Here is an 18,637-nt window from a genome sequence, read left to right on the forward strand (position 1 = left end):
ATGGATTGAATGTGGGAGTCTGACCCAGACTGAGAGCAGAGTGTCAACCAAACACAGTAAGTCCACCAGAGTCCCTCCCTCCCTGTCCCTGTTTCCATTCAGCAAATTGTTTCTGGCATTTCTACTACATGCCTAAGATCTGAGACAGCCAGAAACAAAGATGACACAGCCCTAGCTCCCAGATGATGCCTATGACAGGCAGATGTTTTTCTCCAATACTGCCATGTAACAAGTCCAAACTCTCAGTGGTGCAACATCATTTATTGCTTTTAAGTCTGTAGATTTACCGTTCTGGCTTTGGGGAAGTGGGGCAGGTTTGGGTGTGCTCCATGTCTCTCTCCAAGACCAGCAGCAAATACGGGCATTGTCTTCTCATAGCAAATAGCAGAATTGCAAGAGTCTGAGCAAAACTCCACAAATACAATTAAGCCAGACACAGTGGCTCATCCTGTAATTCCAGCACTTTGGGAGGCCAACGTGGGAGGATCTCTTGAGCCCAGGAGTTCAAGACCAGCCTAAGCAACATAGCAAGACACCATCTCTACAAAACAATACAAAAATTAACCAGGTGTGGTGGCTCACACCTGTAGTCCCAGCTACTTGGGAGGCTAAGGTGGGAAGATCATTTGAACCTGGGAGGTCAAGGCTGCAGTGAGCCATGACGGTGCCACTGCACTCCAGCCTGGGTGACAGAGTGAGACCCTGTTTCCAAAAAAAAAAAAAGAAAGAAACAAAACCTGCTTTTGCCACACCTACTAGCATTTTCTTGGCTAAAACAAGCTTCATGGTCATGTCCAAAGTCAATGAGAAATGAGACTGAGATAAGTACACTACCTTTCCTATAGATATTGCAAAGTCATATGGCAAGGGGGTACGGATGTATAATACTATTATATGAGAAGGGAGTAAAGATATGGTACTATTCAGTATTCATAATGGATCAGTCTTTTAAGTCATTGATTTGCCACTCTGCTGGGCCCTGGGGGAAAGGAGGTTGGAGAAGCAATAGAGTGGACTGATGTCAGTCTCTGCGTTAAGCCAGAACACACCTGCAGCTGTTAAATAGAGAATAGGAGATCGCAGTGGAAAACGCACTGGAGAGAGTGGAGCAGGTTGCATGCCCTAGCCTTTGGAAGGCGGAGAACAGCCAGGCTTGGTGGTTCTGGGACTCACGGCCAGAGGCAGGTGTCAAACGTCAAAGAGCCAGCTCCTCTTACTACCAGAGACCAAGTCAAGGCTAATGAGGAGGAGGCCCAGGAACAGGCCCTGGTGGGCAAATGCAGCTGGCTCCACCAGAGGCAGTTCTCACTAATTGTGCTTCTTTGGCAGATGACTCACCAAACAGAGGACTCAATCCCAAGCCCAGTGAGGGTCCAGCAGCCTTCAGGCCAGGGCCTTGGAGGCAGGCTGAGCACTGGGCAGCCAGCCAGACCAGATTCTGCTTGAAAGTGCCTGAAAACCTCCAGCCTGAGTCGCTTAGGTTCTGAAAACTCTGCCTCAACTCACTTCAAGCCTAGGTTTCACTGGAGAAAAGTTATGTGATGAGAGGAAGGAGGAAAGGAAAGATAGTGACTGGAAAAGAATTTTTACAAGTTCACAGAGTGGTTCTTTGAAGGGGTGGAGTCCTTGCTGGATGTGGTTCTTCTGCACTACACAGGAGACCATCCTCCTTTCTACCCACTCCTACCCATGACTCTTTAGAAAAGCCTGGCAGAGGGTCCTTCATAATAGCATCCTTGGTTCCTCGGTGAAATTCACCAAAACAGTGACCTATGTCTCCATTAGCTGCCAAGACACATCCAGGTGCCTCACTTGGGGCTCTGGTGGCAAACCTGGGGTGGAGAAATAAGCTTCCACCCATTAAATTGGCCCATGCAACCAGGAAGTCTCACCCATGCCAGGCTTCAGGACTCAAATCAGCTTGAGCATATGCTTGGGAAGAAATGCATAATCAATTTCAAGGTTGTGCCCTCATCTCCTAGATTCGAAAATCACACAGATGATCCAAGTTCATGAGAATAGCAGACATGAACAAACCTACTTCCTACACTTTACAGATGGGGATACTGAGGCTTTGGGTTCAAGCAGGTCCTCAAATATTAATTTTGCTAATAAGAAAAGCAAACAAAATGAGGATTTATTTCTGGGCCAGATGCTATGCCAAGGATCAGGGCAGCTGCCAACACTTGCCCATTTGTAAGGGACCTGGGACAGTACACATGGCTTGGTGAGCAGAGTGTAGGCCGGATTTCAGCCCCCGTTTGCCGCCCAGCCAGGTTCTCTTAGGCAGTGTGTGACAGGCACAACTGTACATGGCAGCCCTACTCAGCACTCTCCTTATGAAGAAGACACTATTTGTAGCATCAATTTAGAGACAAGAAAAATGGGGATTAGAGAAAGTAATTTGCCCAACTTTATGTAACTATAACATACAAGTCTCTAGAGTTTGTGATCTTAGAAAACAGAATAACACAATCGTTATCTGCCTCACTCCATTTTGTTTTTGGAGCAGCCAAATATTTTATTGGTTTAGGGTTACTTGGCAAAAAAAAAAAAAAATTGGGTTTCTAGGAATGGTTAATAACATATTAACTAACACAATGTCAAAGATCTAGTTGTATGTTTAGAAGCACAAAATCATGATGGGCAGATCTAGGGGAGACATTTCATCCAGTTTCACAGCCTCCTACCCCACACCAAGAATTTGAGAAGTGATTTGCCCAAGGTCTCACCTGGAGTCAGGGGCTGAGCCAACGCTGGAACCCAGGCCCTGACACTGAGGCCAGTGGTTCCCATTCCACCTGGCCAAGTATGGATGCCCTTCCAGCTTTGTGCTGTGTCTGGAGACAGGGTAGGCAGAACAGGGAAAGGAAGGTCCAAGGCAGCCCCTCTAGAGTCCAAGTCCTTAACCAAAAGCTCAGGACCAGGGCTTGGAAGGAAAAAGGCTGAAACAAGAACCACTGTATGGGCCCTTGCCAACTTACTGCCCTGCTCCGTCCCTGAGATGAAAAGGCCACCTCATTCCACAACCGTATTCTAGGTTTTCATAGGCAAGAACCCAGCCACAGCTCTCTGCACAGCAATGCATTCTTACTGTTACATAAGGGAAGGAGTGCTCTACCAAGGGAAGCTCCCACATTGTCTTCTCCCATCAGCCCTTAAACAGACCCATTACCCCGATAAAAACCAAATGGCCTGTAATGCCCTACTGCACAATGCACCATGCCTCTAAGCCTTTGCCCGTGCTGTCACCTCTGCCTGTCCCCACTTCCTCCTGATGGCATTCTTGGCTTGCCTAGGTCCTAGGGATCCCCCAAGACTCAGCACGGGAAGTACCCCTTCTAGGAAGGCTACTCTAATACCTCCCACCTTGTGCTCTCAACACATGAACTCCTGAACTAAATGTCTTTCCTTATGGGCTCCCAAAATGCTTTCCTTTCTCTCTCATTGAATGAGATATTGTGACTGTTTCTTTCCCCTCATGGCTTGTAAAGGACAGGGACCATTTTATATTATATTAACACTAGGAATCATATAGCCCTTGTGCACTGCACACTGTATAATAGATGCTCAATAAACATGATGAACGAATGAATGAATGAATGGGGAATGAATGAGTAAATGAATGGGGAATGCTTATTAAGCACATGAAGAGTAGATGTGGTAAGTTGTAAAGTGCTGCCCCACTGCCAAGGATAGCCACAGCCAACAGTGGGTGCTTAATAAAACTTAGTTTGAATACAACTAAAAGGCCAGCCAGGACCCCCAGATGGCTGAGGGCATCCTGATGGTGCCTCCAGCCATCTGGACTGTGAACACCATTAAGCACATCCATCAATTCAGCAGCATCTCTGGGCCTCAGCCCAGAAGGAGTTCATGCACCCACAGCCTATGGTCCTGCAAGAATAATGATGAGGGAGGAAGAGTAATAAAGAGAGGACGGTGGAATAACTAAGCAGCCACCAGGACATTTACCGGAGCCAGGGGGAGCCCCTGGAACCTCAGACAGGACCTGGAGAAACGCATCTGCAGAAATCAGGAGGGCTTGTCAGAAACCAATGGCACACACAGAAGTCAAGGTTAGAAGGGACTGTTTTTCTCCCGATGACTTCCAGGTACTTCAGAGAGGGGCCATTACGATGATGCATAGCCAGAGAGCCCCTCAGGGAGACTGCCTCCTCTTGAGGACAAAATATTAAGCCATCGGTCAAATGTAAACACCCTCCCATCAGGAATCTTGTTGAGGATAAAGCACCGTGATTCTACATCATCCACAGCTTAAGACCTAGCAGAGGAGGGGAGGCACAAGGAAAGGTCATTGATGGAGGAGCTTAGGTTGGTGCTCAGGTGGAATGGCTGATTTTAGGAGGGCACAGCTGCTACACCATCATCAGGGGGCCACCAGGCTACAGTTCCACCCCAGGGAAAGGCACTGAAAGGGACAAGAATTTGCTCTGAATGCCCAGTGGCCACAAGGAGCTGATATGTATCTCACCCATACCAGACACTGCGTATTGAGTTCCACCCATGTGTTTAATTTTTGGGACCATGCTCCTCATCTTCACACAAAGAAGGGGCCAGCATACCCACTTTAGAAGCTTAGACTCTGAGGCACAGGGAGGATAAAACCCTGCCCTAAATGGCACATCTAGGAAATGTTGGGGGCCAAGATGTGAATCCTGCATGTGTTCCCAGTGTTCCTTGTCTGTCTTCTGCCCCACATCAGCTGTTTTCCCTGATCATTCTTTGTCCCTGGTGGTCAAGGCTAACCTATTCTGGCTCAGCATGGGTGGAGAGCCTCCAATGCACCAAGCACCCTATTCATTCTCTTGTTAGAACTTCATTGCTCTAGGCCAGGCACGTTGGCTCACACCTGTAATCCCAGCACTTAGGGAGGCCAAGGCAGGCAGACCACTTGAGGTAAGGAGTTCAAGACCAGCCTGGCCAACATGGTAAAACCCCATCTCTACTAAAAATCCAAAAAATTAGCCAGGCGTGATGGTATGCACCTGTAATCCCAGCTACTAGGGAGGCTGAGGCAGGAGAATCGCTTGAACCTGGGAGGCAGAGATTGCAGTGAGCCAAGATCATGCCATCGCACTCCAGCCTGGGCAACAGAGCAAAACTCTAAAAAACTTTATTGCTCCATCATTCCTTCAACACATATTTATTGTTCCTACTGTGTCCCAACTTCTGTGCTGGGCATGAGGTAGGGGAAGAGTGATGATAGCATCTCTGAGGCAACTCTAGCTTTTTAAATGTTCAGGAAACCTCGCTCTTCTGGTTGTTGGAGCAGTTCTGTGAAGTGAGAATGGCCATGTCCACTGGACAAGTGAGAAACTGAGGCTTAGAAGGGAGGGGGAAACAACTGTATGTTCTCTACATGCCTGATGCTGTGCACGGAACTCAGCCTTCTTCATTCTGTGGATGGAGGAACTGAGCCATGGAGGTGAAGCAGATGACACAGAGGTCATAACTTCCAGAACTGGGGACTCAAGCCCACTTTTCCTGCCTCCTCCATCCACCATCTCTCAAATATGGAATTTTTAATTTGCTGTCATGGACTGAACTGTGTCCCCTGAAGCCCTCATCCCCAAAAAGACTGCTTTTGAAGATAGGGTCTTTAAGGAGACAATTATAGTTTAATGCGATCATAAGGATGGGGCCCTATCCCATAGGACTGGAGTCCCTATGAGAAGAGGAAGGGACATCAGCGTGCTCTGTCTCTCCACGTACACAGAAGAAAGGCCACATGAGAACACAGTGAGAAGGTGGCTATCAACAAGCCAAGAAGGGAGACCTCACCAGAAACCAACCCTGCTAGCAACTTGAATTTGGACTTCCAGCCTCTAAAACTCGGAGAAAATAAATATCTGTTGTTTAAGCCACTCTGTGGGGGTATCTTGTTATGGCAACCACAGCCAATTGATACAGCCACTTTCAAGGACTGGATTTCTTTTTGCCTGCTGGGTTCTTTTACAGCCCTCTCGCCCCCTTGTTTTCCTCATATCATGGCCAGCTTATTTACTCCATCTTGATGACGAGGCTTTTACTACCATCCAGTCTGCATGTGCCACAGGGATCTGTCCCTATTCCTGGAGCCCAGAGAAGGAGACTGCCTGAAGCCTTTATCAGGCCTAGCCACTTACAGCAGCGATGGGCAAATCTCTCACGAAGAGTAGCGATGTTACCTAGGACTAAGGATGCTGAGAGCTGGAACAGTGGAGGGGGCTGGTCCCAGACCACAGTGTCACTGCCATCAAGGTGGGACCATTTCCCATTGCAGAAGCCAGCAGACTCAAGGTCCACAGGCCTTCTGCCACCTCCCAGGCCACACGGTCTACTGAAAACAGTTTGGACTTGAGAGCCTGACCTGAGTTTAAATTCTGTCTCTGCCACTGGCTGAGAGACCAGTAATCAATAGGGCTTTTGGCCAACATCCCAGCGCTGTCCTCTCAGGCATGTGGTAAGAATGATCTTCCCACCTCCTGGGAGCTGAGTGTGGCCATGAGACTTGCTTTGACCTAAGAAATGAAAACTTTAAGGACCAATGCATTTTTTTTTCCATTTGGCATGGCAAACAGCAAAGTTTCAGATTGTGTCTGCTCCATCATCCTGGGTTCCTAAATAAGGAAAATGAGAAGAAAAACGCATAGCTGTCCTGCAATGGGTACATCGAATGATCAAGAAATAAGTCTTTGCTTTCGGCCACTAAGATTCTGGGGTTATTTGTTACTATAGCATAACCTAGCTCATCTTGACTGCTACAGTGACACTGACTAAATCACAGCCTCCTTGAGACTCAATTTCTGCACCTGTAAAATGGGGACAACTGTATCTCATAGTTTTCAAAGTACCATGCTTGGTACACTGCGGGCCTTTGACACGTCAGCTTGCTCACTCTCTTCTCTGCACTGTTTTCCCACAAGTCCTTCTCATGATGGGATTAGACATTTTGAGACATAATTTCTTTAGGTCAGATGTTTAGGCACAGACATCTATGTGTTCCTAGCACCCTGTACTGGGCTGGCACCATGGCAGATAATCGGTAAATATTTATTATTAAGCAAATATACAATGATTAATCACTTACTGAGTGGTCGACTTTGTGCTGGCCACCAGAGACCAAAGTCTCTGATCATTTCTCTTGCCTTTCACCTTTCAGTGTAGGTATATTGTCTTTCTTCCCAGTCCAAGGTAGCACTTAATTCTAGCTCTCCTGGCTAGGTGGGCAAATCCCCTTCTCTCTTCTAGTAGTAGAATCCCCTCAGCGAGGCTCCTGCCTATCGATCTCTCAATCTCTGCCAAAACACTTTCAGCATTTGAGAGCTCACTACCTACAAAATGCGCTTCTAAAATTAGAATTACACGGCAGTAGGTTTGGCTCTGGACCAAGTCCATGAGCCCTTCCAGCAACCCTGCGAAGTATGTGTCATTGATGTCACCCCATCCTGTAAACAGGAAGCTAGGATACAGAAAGGAAATTGTCCAAGGTCACACAGCCTTGGTGAGGTATGACTGTAATTTTCTAGGCACACATGCATGGTATGCATGCGATAAATTTTATGGGTTGATTGACAGCTCCGTCCCTGGGAGGGGGTTTCTAGTGACTCCAAATCTCTATGGAACCCCAACCCCAGAATTTCCAGTTTGGCTTTTGGGAATCTTAACAATGCAAACAGCCCTTCATCTCTATTAGAATGTAAATCTCAATAAATGATTTCCAATAACACAGTCCTTGCCAGGAAAGGAAGCATTCACACTGTTGCTCGTGCATACTATAGGTTAATATTTCAGGATGCATTAAATGTATAAATGTTTAGAGAGTGGCAAAGTTCCAGTTGTGAGCCAAGTCACTTTACAGAAAAAAACGAGATGCTGAAGGAGAGTATTTTTAGACTTGGACCCAACCTGACACTACCCGTAAGTACTTTGTGTTCGTGGGCAGAGTATGCAATCCTGCTACTGATTTGCCAGGAAGGAAAATAACATGTTGGTTTCAAACAGATGTTCCTGAACCCTTGATGGAAGCTGATGACTTCAAGATGGGCTGACTACTTTGTGGCTTCTTTGGAGACAGTTGAAATTAAGATGGGATCTGGGGCATGACGGAGCACCACATTTGCCAAAGATGTGCTGGAATAACTAAGCAACAGACATGGGTCAGATTAGCCATGTGCTGAAGCCAAAGGCACATGCAGGAAACCGGAACATTTTCTTGGCCCTTGGAGGACACAGGAGGAATGCTGATGGGCAACATATTTTAAGTAAATATGAGATTGAACCATATAAAATTGCTGATATTTAATCTTTCTCGACCAAAAATATGGCACTTGGAGGTGTTTCAATCAGATATACACATAACCCCACATCCCCAGCAGCAGACACATAACTGTCTGCAATACAGACAATTGTCCACAATTTAGAACACCAGCCAAGTAAACTCTGGAGTTTCTGTGATGGAGTTAGACCCAGGTATTTTTGCCAAGATAGGAGAGGGAGGGGGGGGAAAGGCAGAAAAGCTATGAGTACACTCTGGGGGAACAGACCAGTTAAAATCCCAACCAAGCTGTCTGAGCCTGGCATCTGTCAGCAGCTGGCATCACCATAGTCCTAGCACCTGAGCTGTGGAGCAGGGAGCCCCAGACCTACAGACAAACTGACTGGGTTAAGTCCTGATTTTACTCCTTTCAAGCTTTAGTGGGTTGAATGCAGAGCCCCAAAAAGATATGTTCTTATCCTAATTCCCTGAACCTGTGAGTATTACCTTGTATGGTGTATTAGTCAGGGTTCTCTAGAGGAACAAAACAAATAGGAGATACATATATATATATAAAGGGGAGTTTATTAAGGAGTATTGACTCACACAATCACAAAGTGAGGTCCCACAACAGGCCATCTGCAAGCTGAGGAGCTAGGAAGCCAGTCCAAGTCCCAAAATCTCAAAAGTAGGGAAACTGACAGTACAGCCTTCAGTCTGTGGCCAAAGGTCCAAGAGTCCCAAAGCTGAAGAACTTGGAGTCTTGATGTTTGAGGGTAGTAAGCATCCAGCTTGGTAGAAAGATGGAGCCCAGAAAACTTAGCCATTCTAGTTTTTCCACATTCTTCTGCCTACTTTTTATTCTGGCCACACTGTCAGTTGATTAGACTGCCCACCCAGATTGAGGGTGGGTCTGCCTTTCCCAGTCCACTGACTCAAATGTTTATCTCCTTTGGCTACATCCCCACAGGCACACCCAGGAACAAAACTTTGCATCCTTTAATCCAATCAAGTTGACACTCGATATTAACCATCACATATGGGGCAAAAGATGTCCTTAAGTTAAGGACATTGAAGGAAAGGACTTAAATCCAATGACAAGTGTTTTCATATGAGACAGACACAGAGAAGAGAAGGCAGCACACAGGACAAGGAGGAAGCAATGCGACTGCACAGGCAGAGGTTAGAGAATTTGATGTGGCCACAAGCCAATGAGTGCCTGGAGCCACCAGAAGCTTGAAGAGGCAAGGAACAGATTCTCCCCTAGAACCTCCAGAAGGAGTACAGCCCCACCAATACCTTGATTTTATACTTCTGGTCTCCAGAATTGTAAATGAATCAATTTCTGTTGTTTTAAACCAATAAGTCATTTGTCACAGCAGCCACAGGAAACTTATACACGAGTCCTCTGCCTCAGTTTCCTTGTCTGTAAAATGGGATAAGAACTTCAGGAGATGGTGCACTGGAACACTTTAGCAAGGAATCTAGTATATACTAAGCACTCAATGAATGTAAGATGAAATAAGCTAACCACCACAGGGACAGAGAATTGCATCAGACCCAAGGAAACGAAGATAGTTGCTGCCGTGTGTGTGTTTGGAGCTTCAAAGATGTGAAAAGGTGCAGTGTTCTTGAGACCTGTCTACCTTGCCCCAGCAGTAGTTCCTCCAGTCACAAGTGGGAGCCAAGAGCCCTTCTCAGATAACTCAAACAACACCAGCAAAAACTACTTCTGTTAAAAAAAATTTTTTGAAAGTATTCAGGAAGAGTCCGTTTTCCTTACAGAACTGCATGTTGGACACAATTCAAGCAATCGGGAACCTGGCATTTTGAGCTTGTTCAACCATTGAAAAAGTATCAAAAATACAGTTTAAAAAAAAATAGCACACAGGGGAAGAAAATGGTTATTAAAAATGCTTAAGAGCCTTCCTGAACTTCAAATGGGCTCTTCACAACAATAATACTGATGATTTAAGGGAAAAAATGAATCAAGACTCTATTGATTAAATGTTCCTTAAATTATATGTGGGTTTTAAAATGTGTGGCAGTATGCAAAGCACGTTGGAGGTAAAATGTTTGAAAAATCACCCAAGACATTTAAAGAATTTGAATGTAGCTGCAGCTTCAGCCCCAGGAGGGAGTAGCCTGGGCTCCAGAGAAAAGAAGGACCATCAAGAGCATCTATGACCCAGGCCAGTAGTGCCTAATTCCAGAGCCCCGATGGCAAGGAGGGATGTCTGCTTCCTGCTGCCATGGCCCTGGTCTCCCTAACTCCCTTGTCATGGCTTCATATACACAACCTCAGCCCATCATTCATTCCAGAAACACGTCTTGAGCACCTCCTAGGTACCATGCCCTGTGCTCAGAGCCAGGGGAGATGCAGCACACAGGCTAATGTGGCCACAGATGTGAAAACACTCATTATGATTCAGGGGGTTGATAGCCACGAAATGAAGGACCCACTGGGATAGTCCCTCCCCCATCCAAGGAGATCAGGGGGCTTCCTGGAGGAAAGGAAATCGACGATGAGATCTGAAAGGTGAACCAGGATGCAGAGAGAATGCAAGGGAAGAGAGAAATTCACACAGCAGGCAGGGGAGTGGCACATGCAACATCCCAAGGTCAGAGGCACAGGGCATTTAAGAACAAAAGCAATGAAGCCAGGCCTGCTTCAGGGCCCTCCATCTGGGTCACCTGCTCAACCTCCCCTCAGTAGCCATGGACTCCACTTCCCACAAGACTCTGGGCTCTGCTTACCCAGTGGCTTAGTCTCTTAAATTCCTGAGTGAGAAACTCATCTTCCCTCCTCCCGCCAAGAATCCCACTGGCTCACCCCAGACCTCATGGTGGGGACACTCAGGCAGCACGCAGGGAGGCCTGAGGTACATATGGAAACGTCGCAGTTTGGAGGACAAAGCATCTCTCCAGCAACCTGGCCCTCTCTATGTGATGGGATTCCCTCTTCCTACTGCAAGTGGTGTCAGTTCACAAGTTCTGTCTACCCCTTCACACCTCCCCACCCCACCAGTGCAGGCAGAGCTGTGGTTTTCCTCTGCCTCCTCTAACCCAACCTATATGGAGCTTCAGAGGAAGAGAGCCTGAACGTAAAACCCTTGGGAACTGCTGAAGGAAAAGATGGAAGCCTGGGGGCCAGGATCCTTTCCTCCCCCATTAGTCCTCATTGTGAACAGGGACCATTCCCTCCTGGCCCTGGAAGTAGCCTCTGGAGGCCCAGCAATAGCCTGATGCAAAGGCAAGAGCAGCTCTCTCCCCTGGGCAACATTCTTCATGCACTATTAGGATCCCAATTCAACCCCTTCCACTATGAGCAGCACAAGAGCAGGGACCTCATCAATTTTGGCTTATCTTTGTTCCCCTCCAGGCGGCCCCATGCATGGCACAAGAAAGTGCTAGTTACATGCAGTGAAGGAATGCATGAATGCATAGACATCCTGGTTACCATGCACTGGACCATACATTATGGTCCTGAAGCTCACCATGACCTATGAGGCAGGAAGGACAGAGCCTCCTCAAAGACTCATTCAAAGCAGACTGGACCAAGATTTCACAGCAGTGAGAAGCAAAATTAGGAGAAGAGCCCAGGCCTCTGGGTCTCTGCATGCACACACCACCACAACCTGGGCCTCACTTTTCCTATCATGCTGCTGGCTCTCCTAATATAATCAACCTTTGGCTATATCAATCAGAGCACCCAGCAAGGCACCAAATGAGAGAAAGGGGAGGAGAAAGAGAAGGGAAAGAAGAAACAGCCTCAGCCCTTGAGAAGTTGGCTGGTGGTACTGAAGAATTACATATTTGATTTTAAGATATTATTCCCCCTTCTCTTCTCCTTCCACAAAGTAGTACATGGCCCATTTATATATTTAATTAGAGTGGATTAAAATTAATAACATCTTGAGTGGTTCCTGACCCTTCTTGAGATAATTGGAGACACCCTGGGTTGATAAGAAACCAGGAGGAAGAATTGGTGATCTAACCGACAGAGGCTGAACTTTTTCATGTGCATGTAATCAGTGCATCCCCTAATCACCCTCTGTATATCTTTTAACTAAGATAGGTATCCTTATGATGTGGAGTCACGTCCTGTTCCCCAAGCTGCAGAGCTGAACGCTTGCCCTGGGCAGGCAGAGGGTTTAAAACCTATCCTGCCTGCATTCATCAACCAACATGCAGCTCTCATGGATATTTTAACAGATGTTTTAACAGATTTGTATTGCATTATTTGTTTCTATAGGTACAGATATTTTTAAACAAACATTTTGAACACTTACTAGGTGCCAAGGAATGTGCTACATCTACTCACATCCATTAACACATTCATTCTTCATCACAATGCCCTGCGGGAGTGAGGGGTGGTATTATTCTCTCCCACTTGACATTTGAAGGAACCAAGGTGGAAGATGGCACAGAGGGGGGAACTAGTTCCACCCAAGACATGGCTGTCATGAGCACCTTCATCTCAGGCTTTGATAGGACTTGTGTGATCTCCAATGCTCATTGCTCAAGCTCTGTTCTCAGCACAGCAGCTACAGGCATGAGTGACAGGTCTGAGAGGGGTCCCCCAGGTTGTCTGAATATGTCTCACTTTCTCAAACCAAAGAATGAATGAGCAAGAGCTGAAGAATAAGCCATGACCACCCTGAGAAATCAGAGTGACAGATCCAGCCCAGCCAGGACCCCCCCTACCTCCCAGGCCTCTGCCAGCCACATTGCACACGATGGCCTGGTGGATGGGGAGTCAGCAGTGAATCCAGATCCTGCCCTGCCACTTCCTGTGGAGGCAGATGTGTGATCTTGGATAAGCCACCAAGGTGCACCCAGTGGGCACTTCTGCACTGATAAATGAGCAGGTTAATACCTGTCCAGCAGAGCTTTAATAATAACAAAGGCGTCATTGAGTGCCTGACATGATATTCATTGTTCTGCTGATGAGGAAACAGGTTTGGAGTCACATAGTCATACGGAGAAACCCGTCTGTTTTCACACCTCCTGACTCCTCACAATGCAGGGCACCAGATTTCCTGGCCCACAGGGAGGACAATGAGTTTTAAATAGTAATTGAGAAAGGAATTTTTGTACTTTCCTTTGGGTCTTCCTTAGAGGCCAGTAACAACCCCTTCCCCACCACCCCTGCCAGTACATCTCCACTCCAAGTCCTGATGCTTCTCTCCTTTTTCATTTGAGCAAAATGGCCCCATCACCCCCAAACCTCCCTCTCCTCCCTGCCTTCTGTCCTCCGAATGACAGATTAAAAGCACACCTGTATTTTCTGCAGTGAGGACTACGCTCATGAGTGGGACAGCATTTTTGGGTCAAATTAGGTCAAGTCCGATCAGCAGCCTTGGAGCCGCTACAGCATTAGGTAACCAACTCAAGGCTGGTTCCGCCCGGAGCCATTTAATTTTGGGGAAGCAACATTTAGCTGACTTGAAAGAAGGGGGAAGCAAGCTTGCAGAAAGAGATTGATTTCCACAAAACACAAATTCATACTTACTAAATGCCTTAACACTTTGGAATCAATTAAAATGAGATAGAGAAAAAGACACAAAGAAATAGAGGATAACAGGAAAGAAAGAGGGCAGGGAGGAGAGAGGCTTACTGGGGAGCAGAACAGAAGGACCTCAATCCAAGGAGACGACTCCCTTGGGAAAGAGAGGAATCCTGGGGTGCTAGAAGATTTCATTTTGTAGATCTGGGGGACTGGTGGTCATGGACCAAGGGTCAAGGGCTCCCAGTTAGGGTCAGAATCAGCTTCAAGGGCATGAAGGTAAGGGGTTAAACAGTCTAGACCCCATATCCACAGGTTCTGATTCATTAGGTCTCTGGAAGACTGGGAATCTGCCCATCTAACCATCCACAGGATCCAGTGCAGGTGGTCTGGGACCACACTCTGCAAAGCAAGAACTAGACTAGAGAGATCATGCTGTGCCCCTGGTCACCATGGTAGCAGCAATGACCACAGGCATTGCTTATCCCTAGGATTACTGCAGGAAACCTGAAGACAAACAGCAAAAAGACCCTTGCATCAGCCCCTCCAGAGAAGATGAGGCCTTTTGGAGAAATCTTTAAGGGGAAGAAATCAGCAAAATTTGGGAGATGAGGTTGGTCAGAGAGATGGAGAAAGGGGTGGTCTTTGAAATCTCTCAGGCTCCTGGCTTGGGTAGCCTGCTTCCCAAGAAGCATGACTCAAAACAGGGCTGGACCACTTTGGAAGACAGTTTGGCAGTTTTTTACAAAAAACTAAACACACTTGCACCATATGATCCAGCCACTGTGCTCCTTGGTATTTACCCAAAAGGGTCAGAAACTAGCATACACACAGAAACCTGCACACAGGTTTACAGTGGCTTGAGTCATAATTGCCAAAACTTGCAAACAACCAAGATGTCCTTCAGTAGGTGAATAAAGAATCTGGGGTACATCCACAGGTGGAAGGAATATTACTCAGTGCTAAAAAGAAACTATCAAGCTATGAAAGGACATGAGGAAATGTAAACACATATTGCTAAGTGAAAGAAGCAAATCTGAAGATGTTACATACTGTGTGAATCCAACTTATGACATTCCAGAAAAGACACAATCATGGAGACTGTAAAAAGATCAGTGGCTCCCTGAGGCTAGCGGGGAGGGAAGAATGAATAGGTGGACACAGAGGATTTTTCGGGCAGTGAAACTACTTTGTTTGATACTGTAATGGTGGATACCCATCCTGATACATTTGTCCAAACCCATAGAATGTACAACATCAAGGGTAAACTCTAATGTAAATTATAGTCTTTGGGGGATAATGATGTGTGGATGTAGGTACATGTACCACTCTGGTGAGGATACTGATAGTCAGGGAGGCGTGCCTGTGTGCAGGCAGTGGGTATATGGGAACTTTGTACTCTCTGCTCAATTTTGCTATGAACCTAAAATTGCTCTTTAAAAAAATAAAGTCTATTGAAAAAAAATAAAAACCAGGGCTGGAGATTGCCTCAGGTCCCATGAAATAGGGGAGTACTAGGGAGTCTAAGTGGTGAAACATAGGCAGGGGGCTAAAACTATTAGGGACATGGCAGGAGTAAACCCAAGCCACTGGCCAGGTGCCAACTTCTTAATGAGTGAGTGAAGTATGGTGGGGTAGATGGGTTGGGAAATCAGAACAACAAGTTCAGGCTCCGTTTCTCTCCACCTCTCTGGCCAGTGCCGATGTTATTGCAAACAGAAGCAAGATCTTAACGAGAGAGCAGTCTCTCTGCACTGTTTGAAATTCTCAAAGATCCCTTAATCCCCCCAAAAGAAAACAGTTCAAACAGGTGCATAAACTAGCCAGTTAAACGGGAAGCCCCAAGCATCATTATTCTCTGGGTGAGGCCTCCTAATGCCCCCTTAATGCAGAATCTCCCTGCCTGCTCCTAATAAGGGCTTCTCTCCTTCATGAGAGTCCTATAAAATGCATAAATATTCCTCAAGGAACCAAGAGAGCTCCTAACAGTCTTTAATAGCTATCATAAAATGAAGGATAAACTGTATGAAAGGAGATTGGTCATGATAATAGTACAAGATACGTGAGCAATGAATTTCCTAACCCCTCCCTGGCTGAGTTTTTCTGTAGAAAGATATTGCCTGGAGTTGGGAGCCTGCCCGGAAGAGGCTGGGGAGGGGACAGCCAGTCTTTGGTCAGAGAATCCTGGACCAATTGAACTGGGAAAGCTGAGGTCTAGAGTTGGGAGAGGATGTGCCTAAAGTCATACAGCAAATGACAGACCCCAATCCAAAATGACCATGATTTCCTGTGGTCCAGATCAGGTGTATCCTAGGAATTTGCATTCTTCCTTTATTCCCTGGATGATCAAGATAAAAACTAGTGTATACTAACCAAGCCTGTGACCGAAACAGCTTTGGCCCTGGCTACACAGATTCCTCCAGCCCCTGTGTGGGCCAGACGCCAGCGTGTTGATGGGACCCACGGCCTGAGCACTGCTCAGAAACTGGAAAGGGACTAGAGAGCATGTTAATAAGGTAGGGATCAAAGACAGGACACAGAGCTGAACATCCACAGACCAGGAAAACAAGGGCAGGCTCTAGACAGCTGTTTTCCAGAATGGGTGCTATGATAGACTTGCTGTGAACACCCCAGGGACATGAAGCCTGGGGAGGATGACTGAGTTGGCAGAAGAGCCCACAGCAGACAGATAGCAAAGTACCTAGCCCATGTCCTAGTATGTAACGGGAGCTCAATAAACAGCAGGTCTTGACAGGTGTAGCACTGAAGGTCTACAGAGGTGCTGCTCTGGCCAGGAACTGCTGATTATTGAGCTCCTATTGTATGCCAGGACATGAGCTAGGGGCTTTGCATGTATAATGGCATTCAGTGCTAAAATTGAGTCTAACCACACTGACCCACAGATATAAGTATGCACTTAGGCTGATGAAATAATGTCCAAACAACACAGCCTGGATCCAAGCACTTGTTCCTGCTTCCTGCCTCTGCCCACTGGTCACCTAATTCTTAGGTTTTGCCTTATGGTCTACTGCCTCTTTTGTCTTGACTGTGGAATGGCTTCTTATGTTTGACCCTCAGTACCTTCAGGACATAAGACTCCCTGTTCCTCAGACTCAACCCACCCACTTGCCCAGCTATGACTCAGGGATTCCTATCCCAGGGTTTGCTTCACTTCCTGGGGTCCCAGCCCAGTCCATCCTGCTCATAGCACATGAGGTCCAAGAAGCCACATTTCATGTTCCTCTGCCCATCCAGGTTGACTAAAAGCTGGCTATGAGAGGCTTCACAGCTGCAAGTGAGCTGGAAAACTTCAGCTGAAGTCTTCGTTGCACAAAAGTCAAACCCAAACAGAGATGAGAGGTTGGGGCAAGTTGAGAAGAGTAAAGTTTTCTTAAAAGTTTTGCTTCCAGGCCAGATGAGGGAAACCTGACAATGTTTTCTGCAGATAACCTAAGATTCTGATGAGAACCAATGTCATCCTAAAGGTCCTCAACAGCAGACCAAGACACAAAAAATCAAATGTAGAAAGACTAGAATAGAAAAATAGAACCATCATTATTTCTAGAAGATGGGCTTCATGAAAAACCCAAAAGAATCTAGAATTATTAGGCCAAGTGCAGTGGGTCAAAGCCTCCCAAAGTGGTTGGCCTGTAATGCCAGCACTTTGAGAGGCCGAGGCAGGAGGATCATTTGAGCCCAGGATTTCAACATCAGCCTGGGCAACATAGACAGACCCCCATCTCTACTTTTTGTTTTTTTGTTTTTTTTAATTAGCAGGAGGTGGTGGCATGCACCTGTGGTCCCAGCTACCCAGGAGGCTGAGTTGAGAAGATAGCTTGAGCCTGGGAGTTCAAGCCTGTGGTGAGCCATGATTGCACACCACTGCATTCCAGCCTGGGCAACAGAGCAAGACCCCATCTCCAGAAAAAATAATAAATGAATCTAGAATTAGTAAAAAAAAAAAAAAAAAACTAACAAAATTATTTGACATAAAAGCAATGTACAAAAATCAATATTCATTTCACCATCAAATGGATATAAATGAAAATGTTTAATAATATACAGTTTTTGGTAACAACAAGATTCATCCTTAGCCTAATAAAAGATGCTAAAGACCTTTATGGAAGAGATTGGAATGACTTGTTGAAAGACACTGAAGAAGACCAAAATACATGAATAAATAGACCTACCTCATGGGCAGGAAAACTCAATATCATAAAAATATCAATTTGAGAAAAATTGACATACATTTTCTATATTATTCTAATAAAAATTCCCAACAAAGTAACTGTAGAACTTGACAAGTTGATTTATAAATAAATAAATGTATATGTATATGCATGTTCTGCCTGCTCAAATAAGAAAAATGTAAATTGAAACTACACTAAGATGCCAATTCTCATCCAAAAGTTTCCTAAAAATACATGGGTTAAAAAGCAATTTTATACAGTTAGTAAGAACTCAAAATGGCATTAGTGCCATATAGGGGAAATTTACAGAAGTAAGATTGGTGAAGTTAAATGAAACCACGTAATCACAAATTTAAGTTGGAAGTATAAGAACTCATGATATATCTTTAATATGGATGTGCAATATACATATTCTCTATCTCTATCCACTGAAATGGTCCAGAAACAATTACTAAGCAATAGCAAGAAGCCCTCTTAATGCCGAGATTGTAGTTTTTCTAAGTAGAATTTCAAACTAATAGGAACCAGGACTTCTTGGACAAATAGCTGATTCTAAGTCTGGGGTAGGAAATGTCCAATACGAACCTGGAACACCTTGTAATTTCAGATTTCAAGAAAAGTAACAAAGACTACTGGGTCATGTAAAAAGATTTCAGGTGCTAACTTAAAGTTCCCACT

At 45.8% G+C, this 18,637-nt stretch overlaps 1 annotated feature.

Moving 5' to 3' along the window:
• Window positions 1,205-1,704: an enhancer, noted in NCBI's record as "H3K4me1 hESC enhancer chr16:66064029-66064528 (GRCh37/hg19 assembly coordinates)". NCBI's record gives its function as "activates a minimal SCP1, AML or CMV promoter by ChIP-STARR-seq in primed H9 embryonic stem cells {active_cell/tissue: H9 hESC(primed)}" and the evidence as "EXISTENCE:reporter gene assay evidence [ECO:0000049][PMID:30033119]".

The sequence above is a fragment of the Homo sapiens genome, chromosome 16 (genome assembly GCF_000001405.40).
Source record: "Homo sapiens chromosome 16, GRCh38.p14 Primary Assembly".
NCBI classification, from domain to species: Eukaryota; Metazoa; Chordata; class Mammalia; order Primates; family Hominidae; genus Homo; species Homo sapiens.